Below are 23,167 nucleotides of genomic sequence, written 5' to 3' on the forward strand. Positions count from 1 at the left end.
CTAAGGTTAAGAGTTCGAGACCAACCTGACCAACATGGTGAAACCCTGTTGCTACTAAAAATACAAAATTAGCGGGGCGTGGTGGCACATGCCTGTAATCCCAGCTACTCTGGAGGCTGAGGCAGGAGAATTGCTTGAACCCAGGAGGTAGAGGTTGCAGTGAATGGAGATCACACCATTGCACTCCAGCCTGGGCAACAAGAGTGAAACTCCATCTCAAAAAAAAAAAAAAAAAAAAAAAAATAGGAAAGAAACATAGCTCCTGTTATAATAGGACCTTTAAATATAGAAGTTCCCCTTTCTTTCCTTTCTGTGACCTGAGATGTCATGGAAAGTCCTTCATTAGCTCACCCCATATATTTATTTTTGGACTTCCTCATTGAACAAAATGATGACACTGCTATTTTTATAATCACTACTGCCGCAAAAAACAGGAACTTTTTCTTGTCCCCCAAAACCACAGATTTTCCAGAGCCTCACTGGTCAAGCTGGGCTCTTGCTTCTCAGTCCCACTTTCTTCTTATCTCAGGGGTTCTGTTTTTAATTTGACATTTCAGTTTCTGTGCATAACCATGGTAGAAGGATTTCCAGATTCTTGGTAATCATTAACCAACTCAAGACAGGCATAGCCCTGCCCTGCCTCCCCCTCAGCTGAGGCCTTGCTGGAGAATGTCTGGGAAGGGCATTCACAGAGCACGGAGACGTCCAAAGCCGCATGGAGGGTGCCTGGTGAAAGGCCAAGTGGGGGCCGAGTGTGGCCATGCCATGGGACAAGGTTGAAGAGAGCCTAATGGCATCTGAGGAAAAAGAACTCTAAGGAAGCTATTCTTGGGGAAACGGAACATTCACCCCCAAATCTGGCCAAGCACTGTGCAGTAGACTTCTTAGGCTCCTTCTCAGCCTTATCGTTGACTCGATATTTACTTTACCCTCCCTTCCCCCTGTGCAGGGAGAAGGCCGAGACGTTTATGCCTATAGAGCGGGCCATAAAATCTTGACTCTTAGATAATATCATTTTATCATTCTTTGTAGTAGGAAAACAATAAATATTTTAAAATATGTTTGTCTGTGTTTTCAGACTTAGTGGCCAACCTGTGTGTGTGTGTGTGTGTGTGTGTGTCTGTGTGTGTGTGTGTGTGAGAGAGAGACAGAGAGAGAGAGAAAGAGAGAGAGAGAAAGAGAGAAAGAGAGAGAGAGTCTGCTAGGCCTGCCATAACAAAATACCAGACTGGGTGTCCTATATAACAGAAATTTATCTTATAGTTCTGGAGGCTGGAAGTTCAAGATCAAGGTGTTGGCAGGTTTGGTTTTTCCTGGGGCCTCTCTCCTTGGCTTGTAGATGCCGTCTTCTCCTGTGTCCTCACAGGGTCTTCCCTCTGTGTGTGTCTGTGTCTTACATCTCTTGTTCTTATAAGGAGATCAATTGTTGTGGATTTGGACCCACACATATGGCCTCATTTTACCTTAATTACCTCTTTACAGATTCTTTCTCCAAATACAGTCACATTCTGAGGTACTGAGCATTAGAACTTCAATATATGAATTTTAGAGGGACACAGTTTAGCCCACAACAGTGTGTGTGTGTGTGTGTGTGTATGTAACAGTGTATATACACACACATATACATACACGTAACATATATACAGACATATATAGTCACACACATATGCAGACACACACACACTGTTATGTGTGTGTATATATACAGTTATATACAGTATGTAAAAACCCATACTATATATAAAATATATATTATGTAGATTTTTATGTATACTTCTTATTACACACACATCCACACAATTCTGAGATACTGTCCAATTGTGCTTGAAACTTCCTCCTGTCTGCCTTGGGTAGCTTTCCCCATAAAGTAGACCTCACATTTCTCTGCTCTTCCGGACACTTGTTGTCTGCATTAGTTAATCTTTGCAAATTTCTCTGCAGGGCAGGCTCCCTTAACCTTCTAACCTCACCATGACTGTTAAGTAGGAACGGAATGGAGGCACTCTGCTCCGGGGAAACTTCACCAGTGGAGCCTGTAGGTGGAATCTCAAAGCAAAAATGCCTTCTGGGTGGGGGCTGGAAGGGGTGAGCGGCCTCCTTGCTTTTGTTTCTCTGGAATTCCTTTAGCAGCAAGCAGGAAAAGTGCCCGCAGCAGGGGACTCTCACAGGGTAGACTTCTGTTTAGGCTGAGGAAGCAGGGATCCAGCCAAAGACCAGGAAAACACCATGCTTCTGGGTTAAAGATAAACCAAGAAGGTATTTTAAAAGCGAGCTGCTGGTCCAGTGGGAACAATAGATAAGTTAAAGGCCTGGGGATGAAGCCAATTTCATCTCTGACTACTGTTGTTAGAAAACTATAAATGACATAAAAATTGGCAACAGTGGTCCACTTGAAAAGTTTTTCCAGACAATCTTAACTTTTCCTTTGGTTTATGGTCAAAATGGACAGAGACAGCTTATCTTTCCCAACAGTCCACACTTCACTCATTTGAGGTGACTTCTCTACTTGTCATTTACAAATTGGTCAACGTGTGTGTGTGTGTGTGTGTGTGTGTGTGTGTGTGTGTTTTGAGACACAGTCTCATTCTGTCACCCAGGCTAGAGTGCAGTGGCATGATCTTGACTCACTGCAACCTCTGTCTCCCAGGCTTGAGAGATCCTTCTGCCTCAGCCTCCTGAGTAGCTGGGACCACAGCCACGCGGCTCCACACCCTACTAATTTTTGTATTTTTGATAAAGACAGGGTTTCACCATGTTGCCCAGGCTGGTCTCAAACTCCTGAGCTCAAGTGATCCACCCACCTTGGCCTCCCCAAGTGCTGGGATTACAGGCATGAGCCACCGCACCATCCTATTTTTTTAACCAGATGTGGGTACTAATTTGTCTGAGTTCTTGCTACTCAGGGTAGCAAGGATGGGCCTCTAGCAGAAGCACTGTCTGGGAGTTTGTGGCAAATGCAGAATCTCAGGTCCCACCCAGACCTAATCTGCATTTTACCAAGATCCCCAGTTGACCCTTATTTTTATTAAACATTGAGAATCAGTGGTATAAGGCCCTAATACCCCAATAGCAACTCTTCTGAAAAGGGGAGACCACCTCCAAAAGTGCAATACTCTTACTATATGGGATTGTTTTCATATAGTACCCGATGTTGAGTACATGATAAGCAAATAAATGCGTTTTGATCACTGATAGGTCTGCTTTCTTCCTGCTTTTTAGTCTGCACATTTGTGGTTTTCGTATTTATCTAATTACATTATTTTTATGCTGTGCTATCATGGGTCACTAACTTGAGTTTCTGTGCTTCAGTTTTGTCTTCTGTAAAGTGGAATTTAAAATAATATGTGCCTCATAATATTCTTCTAAGCTGCGAATGTGTTAATACCTGCGAAGCGCTTGGTGTCCTGCCTGGCATATCACAAGAGCTCAATAAATGTTAGCTAAAAGCACACAGCAGGACCTTCATAAATGCTTATGCTATAATACTCCTATCAGCTGAGAATTGCTATGTTTTCCTTGAATGTGTTATCTCGTTTCTCACCACCCATTTGCACGTTACCTTCCTTATTGCTGTTTAGTTCTCTTGAAGAAAGAGTAAAAGACAACCACTGTTTTCTCATTACATTGCATAACACAATGCTTAGCATATAGTGGATTCTTAGTCAGTATGGTGGAATTATCTTTGTTCATGCACACAACTGCTTTGATAGCAAAGACTGATTTTACTTGTTTGATATTTGTTCCACTGCTGCAACGACTAAATTGGCTATACTTCTTCATTCACTCATTTGACATGACAAATTTTGACATGACAAATTCTGTTCTAGGTGCTATAAATATGGCAAGAACAAATCAAAATCTCTGCTCTTAAAGAGATAATTTCTAACGAAGGGAGGCAAATAGTAAGGAAATACATATGATATATAACGTGATCACATGTGCTACAGGTATAAAATCAATCATGATAAAGGGGAAAGAAGATGCTGGGTGGAAATTGGTATTTTGCAAAGGGTGATCGGGAAGGTTTTGCTGATCAGGGAGCACTTGAGAAGACACCACTAGGCAAAAGGTAGCAAACTATTTAGCTAACAGCAGGGTAAGGTGGAAAGTTTTTAGACCAGCAGGCAAACAAGCAAGTGCAAATGCCCTGAGGTAGGAGCTTGCTTGGCATGTTAGGAGTCATTAGGAGGCCACTGTGGCTGAAGCAGAGTGAGAAAATAGAAGCATGGCAGTCAGGTGGGTGGGTGGAGCTACACAGGTGCAGGGTGGGGCATGGCTGCCAAGGTTGTGTGGGAACTTGTTGGTCATTAAAAGGCTTTGGCTACTAGAAGATTTTAAGCAGAAGAGGGACATATATTTTAAAATGATTACTCCAACTGTCCTATGGAGAAATAAGGGGGCAAATATTGAAGCAGGTAGAACACATTGGATGTGACTAAAATAATCAAGGGGAGAGATGCTGATGGCTTGACATAGGACAGCAGAGGTAAAAGTGCCAATAAATCCTCAGATACATTCAGGATATATTTTAAAGACACAGCCTATGAAGTTTACTGCATAATTAAATGTTGTGAAGTTGGGGAATAAGGGAAAGAGAGGAGCCAAAGATGATTCTAAGGTCTTTGGCCCAAGCCACTGCAAAAATTGAGTTGTTGTTTAGTGGGATTGGGGAAAAGAGCAAGTTTGAGAGGAAAATTGAGCATCTGGATTTGGACACAGTAAGTTCAATTTGTTCAGTTGACATCCAAGTGGAGATGTCAAGTAAGGAGGAGGATGTACAGGTTAAAGTTCAGAGGAGATGGTTAGAGCCATGAAATTGTATGAGATCACCTAGCGGGTGAGGGTAGGCAGAGAGAGAAGAGCTTTGGGCTATTTCCAAATGGAAAGTTAGAGCTGATGAAGAGGAAGCAGCAAAAGAGATTGGGAAGTTCTCCAGAAGCTAGGAGAAGACCTAAGAGTCCAATAAACCAAATAGTGTTTTGATGCTTTTGCTAGTTTACACAAGACAAAAATTGAGAATTGATCATTAGATTTAATAATGAAGAATTCTCTCGTAACCTTGATACACATAGTTAACATGGAGTGGTGGGGACAAAAACCAGATTAGATTTGGGTCAAAAAGGAATAAGGAAGAAAAGTAGAGATAAGGAGAATAAACAAATCTTTTGCAAGTCCTTTGAAAAGTTTTGCTCTAAAGAGAAGCAGAGAAATTAGGTGGTCACGGAGAGAGATGGAGAGGGCAAAGGAGGATTAAAAAGATGGGGGGCCTTATAATGTGTTGACATATTTATGAGAATTCTCTAACAGGGAAGAGAGACAATGAGGCAGGAGAGAGGGCTCACTCCTCAAGATGATAGGAGGGGGTGGGATCTAACGCCTAAGTGTCATCGTTGCTGTTGGTTAGCAGTAATGACAGCGTATCTGTGGCAAAACAGAGAAAAAGCAGAATGTATGGACTGGCACAGATATCAGTTGTTGAGTAAAGGTGATGGTGGCAGAATGGGGGGTTTCTCTTTAATTTCTACTTAAAAAATGGAAATAGGGAGATAAGGAAGCGAGATGAGGCGTTTTAGAAGAAAGAAGGTGGGAAATAAACATCAAAGATGGTGGGAGAGAGTGGGGTTTGGACACATGGAATCTCTGATGGGCAATATTCAGGTCCACGTGCGGCTTGTGGTCATGAGTTTAATGTGGAACCAGGCAGCGTCTTAGTATGCTTTTCTTTGGTCTCTTGCTGCAGTCCAGGCACAGGTGTGAAACTCATCAATAATTGTACCTTACACGGCTGTACTCATGGGTGGGCACCATGTGCACACAGCCATTGCAGGGACTGCATTTCCAGCTCTTTAGGAAGCCCACAGAAGAAGCACACTGAATACAAGTTATTGAGGAAAATCATTTACTCCCAAAGAATAAGCTGTTTCCTTGATATTCAGTTATTCAGTTCACATTGAATTTTGACATTCTTATTTTCAAAGACATTTATATATGAGAAAGTGATATATTTATGCATTCTTCAGCCCATGTAATTCTTCAATTTTGCTTAGGCACATTTAGCCAAGCCATCTTCATGACCCTTAAAACATGGTAACTTTATTTAGTGCCTACACTTCAGAGTGGGCAGCTTTCAACTAGAAAGTTGTTCATTCTGCTGAGTCAGCAGTGTGCTGAAAAGCCAGAAAGGGTTAATGCAGCTATTTCTGGGGTTCATAGTATCTCCTCCATGCCAGGATATTGCTTATTTTATTATTAAAAATAAAAATCTTTTGTTTTTCCCACAAGGTTGAGGAAGCCCTTAAAGATCGATCTGTGTCATCCCAATTTCCCTTCTTGCCCCTTCCTCCAGTGTCAATTTACATTATTACTCAACTTGCATGACTATTTCTTACCTGGTATAGCAGTATTTGGAAGAGGCCTTAAAAGCTGAGGGCCCTGGCAAGGAGGAAATGAGTGAGCCTTATTCTCCTAAACATCTTTTGCAACCTCCTGTGGTGAGTGCAGGGGTTGCTCTGCGCTTCTCAGTTCTTGGGCCACTCTTGGGCAATGGGAAGCTGACTGTGCCCATGGTCACTAATGGTCCTTGACACGGTGTTTGTGTTGAACTCTCCAATGTATGCACGCGTTGTTGGCTGTTATTACTTGCGACGCACAGGTGCAGGAAATACCCAGGGGGCTTCCCCACAGATCTGTGCTATGCACATCGTCCATTCGATGACACCCTGTACTCTTTCACACCCCGCCCCCCCTCAAGTCTTCCCTGATAATGCCAGGGCAGGGACATTCTGTTCTGAGCTCATTAGTCAAGAATGTCACCAGACTGTCCTGAAGAGGGTTTTCTCTGGTGTGAGCTCTCCGTCGTTGGGAAAGAAAATCTGAAAATCATGCTGTCTTTCCATGAGTCCAACTCAGGGTTGCATTCCCTCACCTGTGTCCAGCCACCAGAGAGATCCCCTTCCAACTACAGGGAATTCACAAAAATGCCCAAATTAGTGGCTCCCTGACAGACAGAAGAGTTTAATTGGTTCCTGGAATAGTGATCTTTGAATTCATTTCTCCGAATGGTTCATGATTTTGTTTCATTTTTCTGGGAAACGCAGCCCTTCTAGTGCACTCATTTGGAGGAGAGTAACATTCGTGCCTGCCTGCAGCCTGTTTGCAGGAATCTCTGGGAAAGCTATAGGGTCAAGCATTTGATTCACAAATATTTATCAAGCGTCTACCCTTTGCGCTGTTCTTCAGATAAGTGATTCTCAAATTTTGCTGCATTTTAGAATCCCTTGGGAGCTTAACAAAAATCCTGATGTCCAAGTTACAGTCCATACCAAGTAAGCCTCTGGGGATGGGACCCAGGCATCTGGATTTTTTGAAGCTCTCTGGGTGATTTCAATGTATACCCACACTTGGAACCTATGCTTTTTGACAGTGCTCCTCAACTTTAATATGAACACAAGTTACCTGGGGATCTTGTTAAAATGGAAATTTTGATTCATTTGGTCTGGGGTGGGGCCTGGGATTCAGCATTTCTCTAAAGTTCCCAGGGAATCCTGATGCTGCTGCTCTACAGACCACATTTTGAGTAACAAGCAATAAAGTTCCTTTATTCCCAGATGTGTCCAACTTTCCCGGCTCAGAGCCTCCACACATGCTATTCTTCTTTCCCTGGAACTACCTCCCTGAAACTCCCAGCCAAGATGCCTCTCCATCCTTTGGTCCTCCAGTTTTACCTCGCCACCCAATATAATCTCCACCTTCTTTCTCTAATTCTGTATCACTGTGTGCTTACTTGCTAGAATTATCACATCTCATAATTATTTATTCATTTTCTTGTTTCCTTGTTTTCTCAATGATCTCTCCCACTAGTGCAAGTGCCAAGAAGCCAGGAGCCATGTCTATTTTCTTCTCTACAAGTTCTACTCAGTACCTAATTCAGTGACTAATACAGAGCAGGAATTTGACAGATGCCTGTTGAATGAATGACAATAGGGGATTTTGGACAGTTGGATTAATTTTTCCATTTAAGGTAAGACAAGTAAGGTAAGACAAGTAATCACCTGGAGAGCTTCAAAAAATCCTGATGCCTGTGTCCCATACCCAGAGGCTTATTCGGTATGGACTGTGACTTGGTAATAAAAATAATAAAAGTAACAGAAGAGAGAATCTTTGAGCATGTCTTACCTGGCCATTTTCCTGACATGAATGTTGACAGAAGTATGGTATAGCTCAGTAAGCTCAGACCCTTTTCTAAAAACAGAGCTTCAAGAAGAACACTAGTAAAATCTACTGTATTGCCTAGGGAAGGTGCCCTGTTCTTACGAAAGGATGAATCATCAGTTTCCCAGTGTTATCTTTTCAGGTCATTGCAGCTCACTAAAATAGCACCCAAGGTAAATAATCAACAGAGAAGTACCATAAATGTCTCAGCAATTGAGTTAACCTTGGAGCTGCTTCTCTACTAACCTGATACCATATCTGAGGCCTTAGCTCCCAAGGGCAGGATCTTATCCTTTGCCAAATCTGGACTTAGATGTCAAGCACACCAAGAATCTTGTTTAACACTTCATTTTAAATTTAACTGGTGAAAATACACATACACAAAAAGTCATATTGATTTTCCATGGTCGGTGCAGAGGTCAGATGTGATAGTCTAAGGCTTTGTGCATTACTGGCAAGGGACCACGATGAAGCCAACTGAAGTAATCTAGTGGGATTAAGAGAAGAGATACAACCTTTGTCAAGTCTCACAAAAGCCCAGAATGGGAGACAAGGTGCTATTCATGTGTGCCTTAATTTTGAGAAAACGAAGGCACAGAAGGACAGACCCATTGCCTAAAGTCACCCAGTGAGTTCAGGTTGGGAAGCTGGGAAGAAGAATAGCACCAGAGCATCTCTGTCCCCATCAGAGGCTTCAAGTCACTCAGCCATACAGTTTTCCTCTTCCTAAATTCAGCAAGCAATTTATGTATTATATTGTTTTTAATTTTTCTAAATGGGGTGTGATAGAATAACAGGTCTGTTTCAAGCATATACATCCTGAAGATAATGAATGTTTGCGTTTGCCTTGTGTATTTATTTAGTTTTCATTTAGAAAAATCGGCTGTTACCATTGACCTTCTCCTTGGTGCTGGGATGCCCACGGGCTGTGGATACTGGTGTGTGCATGTTAGTGATGCCTCCCTTTGCACCTTGTAGTACAGCAAACAGAAAAATGGCCAGAGGGCATTGGGGTGGTATTTAGGGACAAGACACATGCCGTCTATGTGTTTGGTGATGCCATGTGTATCAGTGCCACAATGTTATTTAATCTGATCCACACATGTCTAAGGAAATTTTGGTGAGATTATCCATCTCTTGGTCACATTCCAGGGTCTGGAAGTCTCTATAATGTCTAGGGTGTAGATAAGCAAAAATATAAATCAGTAAGAGTAGATGAGTGCTGGAGAAAGTTTCACTTTGGCCAATCAGTTCTAACCCTAAGAAACGGGGATAAAATCCATTCTATTGTGGGCTTCAGAAGAATCTATGAGGAACAGGAGTTTGATCAGGGTATAATATCTCACAGAGCTGGCAGAACTGAAGAAGCTGCCTTGAGAAATCACAGAATTCATAGGATCTCAGCTTTGGGTACCACACGGGGGTTCTCCTCACCTAACACAGGTGTCCTTGGTGAGCATTCCTATAGCACTGTGATTGAGGGAGAGCTCAGATCTCCGGGAAGAGTTGTCCTTTGTTTGTTCTAATTTTAAAGTAGGTCTTCCTTAATTTGAGCCTATGTCAGCATCACTGTAACCTCCACACATTTGTCTTAGTTCTCACCTCTAAGAGCAATCCTCCTCCTGGCCATTGCATGTCCCTTACAGCAGTAGAGCTGAATTAATAAGTTTAAAAAGAAAAGGCTCTTTCTTCACAACAACAGTCCTCTGGAAGCTTAGACATAGATATTAAGAATGGATTTATTTAGTATTCTCTTCAATACTTGGAATATGAACACAACTGCTTGTTTCTTGTATGATATGGTTCTAGACCCCTCATGCTAGCTGTCCTTCATTCATTCACTTATTCATCACGAATTCATTGATTCACACAAAGCTTAGCAGATTTTCTGAAATATACAGAACACGGGAGCTGTTACCTCCCTTGTGCCATCAACAAAGCAGGCTTATTTTGAGTTAGCTTCTTTATTAACAGCTTCATCACACAGTCCTGATCTGCTTCTAGCTGAGCCCACCTTTTGCTGGCTGTCAGCAGGAAGACATCTGCCAAAATACAGTTTTATAGTTATCTCCAAATACAGTTTAAGACTGTCTGGAAAGAGAGTGGCAGTAGATCCAATAGTAACTGCTGGAAAGAAGCAGATTAACTCTGAGGAAACAGGCAAGGAGGTAGAGTTTGCAACAGGCAGTGGATTGTGCTTCGGGGTAGTAGGTTTCCCTTCACTGGAATTTTTCAGATGTTCAGGGTCTTTCCCCACTGGCAGCATGAACTACAAGATTTGATTCAGTTTAAGAGTTCGTGATTTTAGTGGTCCTTCTGTCTTTAGACTTGTACATTTTTTTCCCCTGATAATTTGGTCTTGTTTTCACTAGATGTAGGGAATAAGCCCTTCTATCTGCTACACCTCTGGGTAAAGTAAGCAGCCCATTCTTTGCCCCATGGAGCCATCCATGTATGACTGAGGCAGGGAATTTACTCAGTTCCAGGTTCTAAGAGCTTCACATGTCTTTAGTCTTGCTGTTCTTCTAATAGTTTTAGAGCTTTATGTCTTACGTTTATTTATTTGTTTAGAGACAAGATCTTACTCTCTCACCCTGACTGGAGTGCAGTGGCATGACGATGGCTCACTGCAGCATCAACCTCCTGAGCCCAAGCAATCCTCCCACCTCAGCCTCTTGAGTAGCTGGGACTATAGGTGCACTACACCTGGCTAATTTTTGTATGTTTTGTGGAGACGGGGTCCCACTATGTTGCCTAGGCTGGTCTCCAACTCCTGGGCTCAAGGGATCCTCTCACCTTGGCCTCCAAAGTGCTGGGATTATAGGTATGAACCACTGTATGCAGCCCATCTGTTGTATTTAGGTCTTTGGTGCATTTGAGTTAATTTTTGCATGTGATGTAAGGTAAGGTCCTACTTCATTCTTTTGCATGTGGATATCGAGTTTTTCTGATATTAATTGCTAAAGAGACTGTCCTTTACTGAATGGCCTTGGCATCCTTGTCAAAAATCATTCAACCCAATAGACAAAGGTTTATTTCTGGGCCCTCTATTCTATTCCATTGGTCTATACATCTATTTTTATGCCAGTGCCACACTGTTTTTATTACTGTAGCTTTGTGGTAAAATTTGAAATCAGGAAGTATGAGATTGCCAATATTGTTCTTTTTCAACATTGTTTGGGCTACTCAAAGTCCCTTGAGATTCCATATGAATTTTAGAATGAATTTTTCTAATTTTGCAAAAAAATGCTATTGGGATTTTGTTAAGGTTTGCACTGAATCTATAGATTGCTTTGGGTGGTAGTGAGACTTTAACAATGTTACACCTTCCAATCCATAAATATGGATATCTTTCCAATCCGTTTGTGTCTTTAATTTCTTTCAGCATTTTTAAAAAAAAAATTTTCATTTTTTATAGAGATGGGATCTCACTATGTTGCCTAGGCTGGTCTTAAACTTCTGGCCTCAAACAATCTTCCCACTTTGGCCTCCCAAAGTGCTAGGATCACAGGCGTGAGCTATTGTGCCCGGCCCTCACCAATATTTTGTAGAATTTAGTGTACTAGTCTTTTATCTCCTTGGTTAAGTTTATTCCTATTTTATTATTTTTGATGCTATTGTAATTCGAATTTTTTTCTAATATTGCTGTTAATCTTCTATTTTATAGATGAGCATACTGAAGCCCAGAGACATTAAGTAACTAGGCTCATTAGTAGTGACAGTGATGTTGCCACCAAACTGTAAAGCCAGGATTTGGACTCAGGCAAGTGACCCCACAGTTGTGTTCTTGAGTGCTCCACCGCAGCATCACTACAGGAAGTGGACTAGATTCTCATGGGCCTTCAGGATGATGAAGAATTCTGGACGATTTACAGTGGAAAATCAGGATTACTGTGGTTTTTGCCTGCTCCTCCCTGTTCTTCCTTCTTTGTTGTTTAGACAAATTCTAAACGACAGACCTTCAGCTCTCAAATGCTAGAACCTTGACGAAGATTTATAGCCTATTCTCTTTAGAGTGCCACTTTTCCTTCCTTTCTTAACTGGACTATGAATGGCTCTTATCTACTTTTGTTCTTTTATTTTTTTCACATTTTACTCCAATTTCCTAGAATAAATTCATAAATAATTGGAAGCTGGTTTGGAGACACAGCAATAAATTTTTTTAAATGATGCTTTGTAGTAGCGACTTAGGCATTTTCCTTATTATGGATATGTCTGGACTGTACAAGGATCTCTTTGTATAACCAACCTCAATAAACTGATGGATGGAACAGAGGCTTCATTTGTCTTTGGCACAGTGGCACTAACCTGCTTCAGAATTTTGACATCAATTGTTAGACATTAAGTAACTTGCCTCTTTCTCATGAGCCCAGTCATCAAAAAGGGACATGGAAATATCCTAATGTTTCACCTGTTTTATTACAGGGTTTTAATAACTTAGAGAACCTCCAAATGAGAGTACTGAAAAAATATCTATAGTGTAACACGCTCTGTGCAACCAGATGAAGAAATAATGTAGGGAAAAAACCAGTGTTGCTTCATTTCTCTCTTTCTCTCTCTTTCTCCATCCATCCACCCATCCATCCGAATAATGACTAAACTCTACTCATACTTATCCCTACATGTCCCTACAATCCATTCATTTTTTCATCTCCACTGCATTGCCTCCATTCAGATGTCATTATCATTTGTCCACTTTGCTACTGCAGCCTCCCAACTGGACCCTCTTCCTCCAGTCTTTCCCTTTCTATTCCATTCAACACACTGCTACTAGGGTCACCCTCCTGAAAAAATTCTCATCAATGGATGTCCTCACATGAAAACACTTGATTTTGAATCATTTTGCTTCTCCTTTCTCTCACCTCCTTCCACCATATTTCCTCCAGTTAGACTTACTTTTAGGACATTCTATTTTCCCTTCTTGGAGCACTAATCCTTTTTATCTGGTATATTAGTCTGCTCAAGTTTACTCCAAAAAATGGAAACAACTGTAGTTTCAGACAGGAAGAAATTTAATACAGGGAACTGGTCACATAGATAATAGAAAAGCTGAGAAAGCAAGCAAGGGAACTGATGTGACTCAGAGACTGCAAAGAAGAATAAATCATTGCTACCCTTAGTCCTGGAGGGATGGAAGGAGGAGATGATGTTATTTGATCCCAGGAACCAGATACTAAAATCAGAGCAGGAGCCATGGACCAGCGAGAAAGGGGCTATCCTGTGAGTTCTGGAGCCATGGAGGAGACTCAACCATTGCTTGGGATCCTCCTGAAACAAAAAGGAATGAGGGAGTGAAATATCCAGCTTTTCCCCTCCCCTTATCAGCCATTCTCCCACTGTGCTTTCCTTTGGCTGGATTGCATTGAAACTGGAGGATAAGGGGCCCATGAAATGCAGTCCCCTCTGATACATGGCAGGACAGAGCAAGGCAGGAAAGTGATCTGCATAGCCAACTAATTCCCTCTTTTCAGGATTCAGCTTAAATGATACTTCTGGAAAGCTTTTCCTGATGTCGCCATAGTATCCAGTAACAGCCCTCACTTTAAATTTGTCACCTTTTGTCACAGATGCTCATTGAATTGTTGTGTTCTCAGCTCACCTGTAAGGTTCCACAGAACATCATGGCCTCTATCACATAGTGACATGATAATAAATATTTGTTGAATGGGAAACTGATCTTGGTAATTGTCCCTTATAGAAAGTGTATCAGTTTACACTTGCTGAAGCGAGAAAAGTGCTTATTTCTCAACATCTTCACCATTGTTTATAAGTAAACTGCCTAATTCTTGCGAATCTGATAGTTGCAATTGGTATCTCAGGGAAATTTTTATTTGCATTCCTCTTATTGTGAGTGAGGACTTTTTATATGTTTAAGAATCTGCAGTGACTAATTTTATCATTTGTCCGTTTTTTCCATTTGGTTGTTGATCTTGGTCATATTGATTTATAGGAACTTGTTGTATATCAAGAAAATTAACTCTTTGCCGAGTATGAGTTACAAATATTTTTTCTTAATTTGTTGTTCATTTGAGACTTAGATTATCATGCTTTACCAGGCAAAATTTTTCAAATTTGTCAATATTTTCTTTTATGATTTCTAATTCAATATGGGCTTTGATTTATTCTTAGGCATTTCTCACTCTAGTGATTGTATATATAAAAAATCTCCTGCTTTCTTTTGAGTATTTCATAGTTTTGTTTTCTTTTTTTAATGTTTAGATCTGTATCAATCAAGAACGTATTTTGATAACAAGGAAAAAGGCATGGATGATCCTTTTTTTTTTTTGAGATGGAGTTTCGCTCTTGTCACCCAGACTGGAGTGCAATGGTGCAATCTCGACTCACTGCAACCTGTGCCTCCTGGATTCAAGAGATTCTCCTGCCTCAGCCTGCAAAGTAGCTGGGATTACAGGCGCCCAACACTACGCCCAGCTAATTTTTGTATTTTTTAGTAGAGACGGGGTTTCGCCATGTTGTTCGGGCTGGTCTCGAACTCCTGACCTCAGGTGATCCACATACCTCGGTCTCCCAAAGTGCTGGGATGTAGAAGACTGATGAACTAAGATGAAAGATTCTAAAAGGCAGAGTAAAATCTCTCACAGGCTTGTGCTTGGGAAACAAAGTGAGCAACTGACCTCACTACAAAGCCACTCTTCTCAAGATCTCTGTCAGATTTTGAAGACACATGGGACGGAAAGCTAGAGATCTAGGATGGAACCTGATGGGGCAGAGCTAGGGCTCAAATCTTTTGGTACCAAGGACATGGAGATTCTTCAGGCTTTCAGTCAAAAAGCCAGAGGTCAATGCTCTAGGGGCACAGGCAAACCAGAGAGGAACTGGTTCTCACTACACTGCAACTCAGCAGCAATCCTGCTCAATTTCTGACTAAATTGAATTGATCAAAACCTTGGTTTGTCTTCCTAATAGGACAGGAGGAATACTTTCTGTTGGAAGGTAACATCTTCTAGAGTGAGTACAGTTCTTTAGTACACACTATCTGGAAAACATTTTTAAAATTATTGTTCATGTAAGGAAGCAATATGACTAATAAGCAACAGAAAAATCATAAAATAGAGGCAGACCCGCAGGTGTTACCAAACCAGTAAAATTGTGATTATTCTACTCAAGTAAATAGAACAAGAAGGACAAAGTAGAGAAAAGCATGGATAATTTTAATAGATAATTCAAATTCATAAAAAGAAATTAGGTGGATATTTTGAAATGGAAAAATATAGCAAATCCCAAACAGGATAAACACAAAGAGGTGAATTATAGTCAAACTGCTTAAAGTCAAAACTTAAAATCATTAAAGCAGCTGAGGGGAGGGGCATCTATTACTTTTAAAGAAACAATGTTAAGTAACATTGAGAGGTATATCTCATCTGAAGTGACAAAAGCTAGAAGACAACTGAATATTTTTCAGTGGTTGAAAGAAAACAACTGCCAATCTGGAATTCTATATCCAGTAAAAATACCTTCAAAAATGGAGAAACATACATGTTTTCAAACAAAGGCAGAGTGAAAGAATTAATCAAAAACAAACTACACTAAAGAAAAAGCTAAAGAACAATGAGCCCAATCCTTCAGACCTAAGGAAAATGATTCCAGATGGAAACATGGAAATGTTGGAGGAAAGAAAGAATAGTATAATAAGAAAATATATGGAAATTTCAACAAATGCCAACTGTACAAAACAATAATTTTGATGTCTGGTGGAGTTTAAATTATATGCAGAACTGAAAATGTATGACAATAATAATGCAGCAGTGACTGTGGGTAAATGGAATGTAAAGATTTCTGGCAATGTAAGTAAACTGGTAAAAGCAATCATTTATGTTAGTACTATAAGAAATTAAGAATGCCTGTTATAATCACTAAGGGAACAATAAAATAATTTAACACTAACAATAGAAGAAAAAAATTAAATAAAAAATTGATTACTTCCAAAAACGATAAGAAAAAAGGAGAACCATAGTAAGTCAAATGGAAAACAAACAAAAAGGTAGTTAATATTAATTCAAACTTATCCATAATTATATAAAATATAAATGAACTAAATACTCTGTCTTAGTTTGTTTTCTGCTTCTATAAAAGAATACCACCGATTGGGTAATTTGTGAAGAAAAAAAATTACTTCTCACAGTTCTAGAGTCTGGGAAGTCCAAGAGCATAGCTCTGGCACCTGGCAGGGGCTTTCATGCTCCATCCTGACATGGCAGGAGGGCAAGCCAGCACATGCCAGATAGAGAGAGGAAATCAGGCCAAACTCTTATTTTGTTTGTGTAATCAGAAACCCACTCCCATGAAAATGGCATTAATCCACTAGTGAATACAGAGTTCTCATGACCTAATCATCTCTTAAAGATCCAGCTCCCATTACCATTACATTGGTAGTTAAATTTCAATATCAGTTTTGGTGGGAACATTCAAACCATACCATACTCTCAATAAAACAATACTGTTGTCAGACTCCATAAGAAAATCAAAATAAAGTATATAATACTTACAAGAGCATAAAGTTTCAAACTAAAAGGATATGAAAAGATATACTGTGCAAACATCAATCAAAAGGAAGCTGGGGCCAGGTGCAATGGCTCCCATTTATAATTCCAGCACTTCGGAAGGTGGAGGCAGGTGGACCACTTGAAGTCAGGAGTTCAAGACCAGCCTGGCCAGCATGGTGAAACCCCATCTCTACTAAAAATACAAAAAAATTAGCCAGGTGTGGTGACAGGTCTGGGACCTGTAATCCCAGCTACTAGGGAGGCTGAGGCAGGAGAATTGCTTGAACCCAGGAGATGGAGGCTGCAGTGAGCTGAGATCGCCCCACTGCACTCCAGCCTGGGCAACAGAGCAAGACTCCATTTCAAACAAACAAACAAACAAACAAAAAATGGAAGCTGAGGAGTCTATATAAATATCAGAAAAATAATTAGTTAGAAAAACATTTTACCATGATAAGTGGTAAGTCTAGCAAAAAGAAATTGTAACTCTGAATATTTATGTGTACCAAAAATGTAATTTAAAATACATAAAGAAAAAAGTAAATGGTAAAATAAATCAAAAATGTAATAAAGACACTAACACTTCTTTCTTAATACCTTTGGTGTCATTATGCTAATTAGGCCTCTTTGGCAGGAAGTAGCAAGAGCAAGAAGGTTATGAAGCAGGTTCACGCCATGTATTGCAAGCTGGCCTGACACTTGGGTCTTATGTCCCACCAGATCCAATAGTATTGGGAATATCTGTGGTTCTTAGAAGTTTCTGGAAAACCCCAGGAGGATATTCACAGACAAGTTCTAGATTTTAGAGTAAGGGCATGTCCTCTTCAGCCAACAATTCTTTATTTGAAAAGCAACTCCAGATTATGCCTGATCGTGGGATACTAAATGACTGTGCAACCCAGACTTCTCTTGAACTCGGTATTACCTGATCCATTGAATCGCAGCATTTCACTGTCAAATAAAAATGAATATAAAAAACTGGACCTGAGCAGGTAAGGAGGCACAAGTATACTTATAAGCCGGCATCTCAGACTCCTAGGATAACTGTTCCTACTGCTTTGTAGGAACCCATACCCACGACCCATGGGAGTTCCTTAAAACCAGCCAATGGATGAGGAAACCAAGTGGGCTAGGTTTATAGATGAAGCTGCCTATTATCTGCATAGAATTTGCCTTATAGTCCCATGTGGGATGATCCCTGAATGATAATAATGAAGGGAAAAGCTCCCAGAGGGTCTAACTTCATGCACTATATATAGTTGTCCACATCATGTGGAAAGAGGGATGATTACAATTATGGATCTACATTAATATCATGGGAGGTAGCTGATGAGTTGACCTGCTAAATAAAGACTTGGAAAGTTGCAAGAAGTTCTGGGGGAAATAGTAGATGGGCAACTTTTGGAATGGGCAAAGAGTATATAGATATTTGTATCCCCCATAAATGCCCAGACAGTATTGATGTCAGATAATCTGCTTAATAATCCAGTCATCAGGATAAGTCACCCTTATCCTGGATCTCAGTCAGTCTCCTTCTTTCACCACCCTATGTTACTATACAATGAGGCATGAAGGACCATGCTTAGGACTTAGCAGATTCCCTGGAATATCTCTGAGTACTTGTCTTTTGCCCAACAATTATGGTAAAAGAACTGTAGCAACCCAATAATCACAGGATGACTAAGCACTCAGATCCCACAAAAATGAAGATTTAGTTACACCCTCATAGAGAACACAGGCCAAGCTGAATGTCAGGAAACAAGAGATGGGTAAAAGAAGGCAGGTATGACAATCAACTTGTTCTCATGACCAGCTATGAAGGTGGAGCTATGTTTTATATTGTTTCTTTTTCCCCTGCTACCTTATAGCTTATAGGAAGAACACTCACAATAATGCTTTAAGTTTTCAAGGGGAATATGACTGAATTTATCCTGAGTGGATACCACTGAAAGAGTTTTGTGTGTCCCCTGTGTGGAAATCACAATATTTTCACCCAAACAACCAGTGTAGATGCCAAGGGGCAAAAGAGGAGGACTGGATCTTTTATTTTGCTCATTGAATCCACTCTCCACATTTTCCCATCTCATTCTGTACCTAAAATGGCTTATTTTTATGGATGCTATTAATGTGTCAATTTCCTTCTGCCTTCTTGTTGTGTTTGACTAATAGGAGGCCCAGGTGGGAGTCAGGAAGGCATGAAGAGAGTGATGTTAGGGTATTTATGCCCCTAAACACCCCCCTAGAGGCTGGTGGTGTTGTTCTTAGATAAGTTTCTATTAGGAGACCCTCTGTCTTCCAGTGAGGACTCTCTCTCTCTATCTCCTTCAGGCCCAGGAATAGTAATGGCCCTGTGCTGTTGCCTTGGGGTAATGCACTACCCCTTGCTGGTTTCCCTAAACTCTGCACCACCTTTGTAATTAGTCTCTCCACTAAATCCCCCTTAATTACTCATTTAGGTGCTCAAGTGAGAGATAGGTCTCAAATCAAGGGTTCTTCACACAATAAAATAATTGGAGGTGATCATTGTCCAGAAAAGAAAATGTAAGACTCAACTTTGCTGCTGAAATGCTGGAAAAGTCACTACTTTGCAAAGCAGGTTGCTAGCATTCAGCACAGCAGCGTGGGCACCCTGATGGCTAAACGAATGAGACAACATTGTAGCGCCACGACTGGTGATTTCTGTCCTCACATTTTCAATTGCCATTTCTCAGGCAGGCTCTTGAATAGGACATATAAACTACTTGCTGAGTTACACTTCCAAAATGTGAAGCTGATGTCATTGTTCTCCTCTTGAGTACAGCTAGAGGATACCTTTACTCTAGAGATACCAGCTAGTCTCGCTGTTCTTCTCCCCTGCCCAACCCAAGGCAACTTGGCATCTCTTTCATCAGTATTTCCCCTTTGTATTCAGCATGGAACCCTGTAAAAGAGGTGGGGGTGGCACCATGTCTCCGTTCTTCTCTGGGACACTTGTCTTCTCTAGAACTAACATACAGAGTATTTTCAGTTTCTCTTAAATTTGCTGTAGTGCCTAAAAACAGACTTTAAAGGAGCTATTTGGATCATTTACAAGCTGCCACAACGTGGTGTCTGCATAGGACATGAAGAATTAAGTGTTGAAACGTCCAAGCCTTCCTCTCTCTCTGAGGGGGTCTTCATGAGTGTTTTTACTCCCTCCCGTGAGAAGACACAAAGAGGTCTATGTGTAAAGCATAACCAGCCTTCCACACATCTGGACTGCTTCCACAATCTGTTTGCACAGGCAGCTGGAGGAGATCCGATGTACCTTGGCTCTACATTCCCCCAACATGGCACGTCGCAGGGACTTCCCCAGGAGAAGTGCTGAGCTACCCATGCCTGTGGCTGCAGCTTCCATCCATTCAGCTGATAGAGATTTGTACAGGACTGAGGCATCCTTCTCCTCAGGCTGCTCACCAGGCTGTGAACTGGGCAGGTGGCAGCTGGGTCACCCTGGGAGTTAGGGCTCAGTGGCTCTCCACCCAGCCTCCAGTTTCCTTTCTGTCTCCAGTTTCTGTGTCCAAATTTGGCAGCTGAAATGCAAGTCTGAATTATGTCATCTTCCTGGTCATCAGTGTCACCGTCCTGTCTGACAGTTCCCTTGCGGGCTCCTTTTACCGGTTTATTCAGATCAGAGTCATTTCTCAGGTTGAGCTAAAATAAGCAGCCCAATTAGGAAATCTCTGCACTTTCACAAAAGGCCTTCAATCAATTATACCTTCTCTTGAAGAAGAGTGGTGGCTGGAGTCCGACTTGTAATGGTGTTCATTATAAGGTATCTTCAATAGATATACAAGCAGTTTTGATTGGGATGGCCTAGGCTATTTGTCCTGTGAATGTTATCAGATGCGATCTGTACCTCTACAAACCACTCTTCACTTAAACCAGGTAGCATGAAGCGTGGTGTGGCCATTTCCATTGTTGCAGTGCGTTTAAATTCCCCGAAGGTTGAGGATGGGTTGAGTGTTCTTTATTTTCCTTATCTGTTTGATCACCTTATGCATTTGTTACTCTCATAAGATTAATGGCAACCTCAAAAAAACAGAAAAACAAGTCTACCGCATGGAGGCTTGTTGCCTCCAATTCCCACAGAATTATTTGGTCATTACACCAAGACCTGCAGCTTATTTGGGCTTTTATAATTAAGTAGACTCTGTCTTCATAGGTAAGCACTTGGTCATGGTGGAGATTGTTCCACATGTGTATAATCACTGGATGTAAGAGCATTGCTTTTAGGGAATGGCCTGTGTCTGGAATCTTGAGCACTAATCACCCCTCCACCCTGGCATAAAGTGTTTTAGCATTATGGATGTCTGTCTATTCTTAGCAAAACTCAAGTTTAACAAAAACAAGTCATGTTTATGCTACAGCTTAATTCCAACTAAAACCTTTATCAGTATTTTTTTTAAATGTTACAATTTCTTAAGAAAATATCTGCCAGTCTTCTCTTGTGTGTTTTTTTCGGATCAAGAGATTACATCAGCATCTATATTAAGTGAACATTCCTGCCCACTTTTTTTTTTTCTGTGACTGGAGTTTTCATTTCTGACAACTGTGGGATTTGTTTTCCTAGCCCATATTTACTTTTTACTTCAAAAACTCTGAACCGTTTCTTTTTTCTGCTAAAACATCAGTAGCTACCATGGGTAAGAGTGACAAATCAATACCACTATAAACAGAGCTGATATGATTTACTAATAAGAATTAATTGTTGATCTTAAGACTTCTGAAATATTTTTCATTGGCTTTGCATTTTTAATATGAATATTAATTAAGAATTCTTTAGAAAGAAAGACCTGCATGAAAGCACTGTGATATATTATTTTACTGAGTATCAGAAAAACAAGATAAGAGGAGTTGGGTTAAAAATATGCAATGACTATTTCTTCTTGAAGTTTTCTTTGGTGAGTTAATTTTCTATTTAACAAAAAGTTTTCTACTTTCTAGATGTCCATTTTCCTCTTGGATATAGTTGTTCATGGGCAGAATTCAGTCGTCCAAAATGATGACACATACTGATTTCTTTGATTGTTCTTTTCTTTCTTCTCTGATATGGTAACTTTAATAGTTAGTATAGCAGCCACAAAGGCAAAATTATGCAATTTCCTATTCCTTAAAATATTTTCTTCTAATTATTAAGACATTTATCTTGGATTTCTGTGTGTAATAGTATTAGGACAAGTTGTATATTATATTGTAACCTGTAATATAATAGCTAATATTTATATAGCATTGTGGTAGGTAGAATAATCGTTTCCCAAAAGATGTCTACATCCTAATCCCTGAAACTTGTAAGTATGTTATCTGATATGGTGAAAAGAACTTTGTATATGTGACTAAGCAAAGCATCTTGATGGGAAGATTATCCTGGATTACCCCACTGTGCTCAGTGTAATCGCAAGGGTCCTTACTCCTGCAAGAGTGGCTGTAATTAAAAAGTCAAAAAACAATAGATGTTGGTGTGGATGTGGTGAAAAGGGAACACTTTTGCACTGCTGGCCCTTGTGAAAGAGCCATCTGTGGATGTTTCAGTTACAGGGGTTGAAAAGAGGAGAGGTATTTTAGAGGTCTCCGTTGAAGATGATTAGGTTAGACTGCTTAGCAGGCACAGTAGAGGATCTTGTGTTGCGTTCAGCAGACACACAATCTTAGACTTCCAAAGTTCCTAACTCATTCTGTCTGCTTCATTCACTCTTTGGGGTTGCCCTTACTTAGCTCAGAATAGAATCTGATTGGCAATATTTGGAAATTTGCTCCTTATCTGGGCTGCTTCCTTTTATTTTTTATTTTTTATTTTTTTTTGAGATAAGGTCTCACTCTGTCACCCAGGCTGGAGTGCAGTGGCATGCTCCCGGCTCACTGCAGCCTCCACCTCCTGGGTTCAAGCAATCCTCCCACCTCAGCCTCCCAAGTAGCTGGACCACAGGTGCATGCCACCAAGCCTGGCTAATTTTTGTATTTTTTGAACAGAAGGGCTTTTGCCATGTTGTCCAGGCTGGTCTCGAACTCTTAGGCTCAAGTGATCCATCCCCTTTGGCCTCTCAAAGTGCTGAAATTATAGGTGCGAGCTGCAGCCCCAGGCCTGGGCTGCTCCATTTTAATTACCAGCTCTCCATGTGCTTCAAAGGGTTAATATAGTAGGTATTCTGGAGGCATACTATCTTTTATTACTCCCAATTATTCTAAGAGGTATATAATGTTATGATTTCCTTTTCACTATTGAAGAAATTAAGGATTAGAGAGGTTACCTTTGCCGCAGTCTTAGGGTTAGTGAATAGGTTTGATCTTATATCTGTTGGACCTAGGGTACATTCTTCTAACCATTAATCAAGGTTTTGAAACCGAGTGTGGACTGCAGGTGCTATCTGTTCTTATAAAATTTAAATTAATAAAGGAAAGGAGAGCCACTTACCTGTTTATTAAGTTTGTCCACT

At 40.6% G+C, this 23,167-nt stretch overlaps 4 annotated features.

Moving 5' to 3' along the window:
- Nucleotides 218-537: an enhancer, noted in NCBI's record as "active region_24016". NCBI's record gives its function as "activates an Ori minimal core promoter by ATAC-STARR-seq in GM12878 lymphoblastoid cells {active_cell/tissue: GM12878}" and the evidence as "EXISTENCE:reporter gene assay evidence [ECO:0000049][PMID:35858748]".
- Nucleotides 2,325-2,525: a silencer, noted in NCBI's record as "peak5660 fragment used in MPRA reporter construct". NCBI's record gives its function as "represses an SCP1 promoter by STARR-seq MPRAs in K562 erythroleukemia cells {active_cell/tissue: K562}" and the evidence as "EXISTENCE:reporter gene assay evidence [ECO:0000049][PMID:32103011]".
- Nucleotides 2,551-3,222: an enhancer, noted in NCBI's record as "H3K27ac hESC enhancer chr6:12366181-12366852 (GRCh37/hg19 assembly coordinates)". NCBI's record gives its function as "activates a minimal SCP1, AML or CMV promoter by ChIP-STARR-seq in primed H9 embryonic stem cells {active_cell/tissue: H9 hESC(primed)}" and the evidence as "EXISTENCE:reporter gene assay evidence [ECO:0000049][PMID:30033119]".
- Nucleotides 20,225-20,304: an enhancer, noted in NCBI's record as "active region_24017". NCBI's record gives its function as "activates an Ori minimal core promoter by ATAC-STARR-seq in GM12878 lymphoblastoid cells {active_cell/tissue: GM12878}" and the evidence as "EXISTENCE:reporter gene assay evidence [ECO:0000049][PMID:35858748]".

This window comes from Homo sapiens, chromosome 6, assembly GCF_000001405.40.
Source record: "Homo sapiens chromosome 6, GRCh38.p14 Primary Assembly".
Classification (NCBI taxonomy): domain Eukaryota; kingdom Metazoa; phylum Chordata; class Mammalia; order Primates; family Hominidae; genus Homo; species Homo sapiens.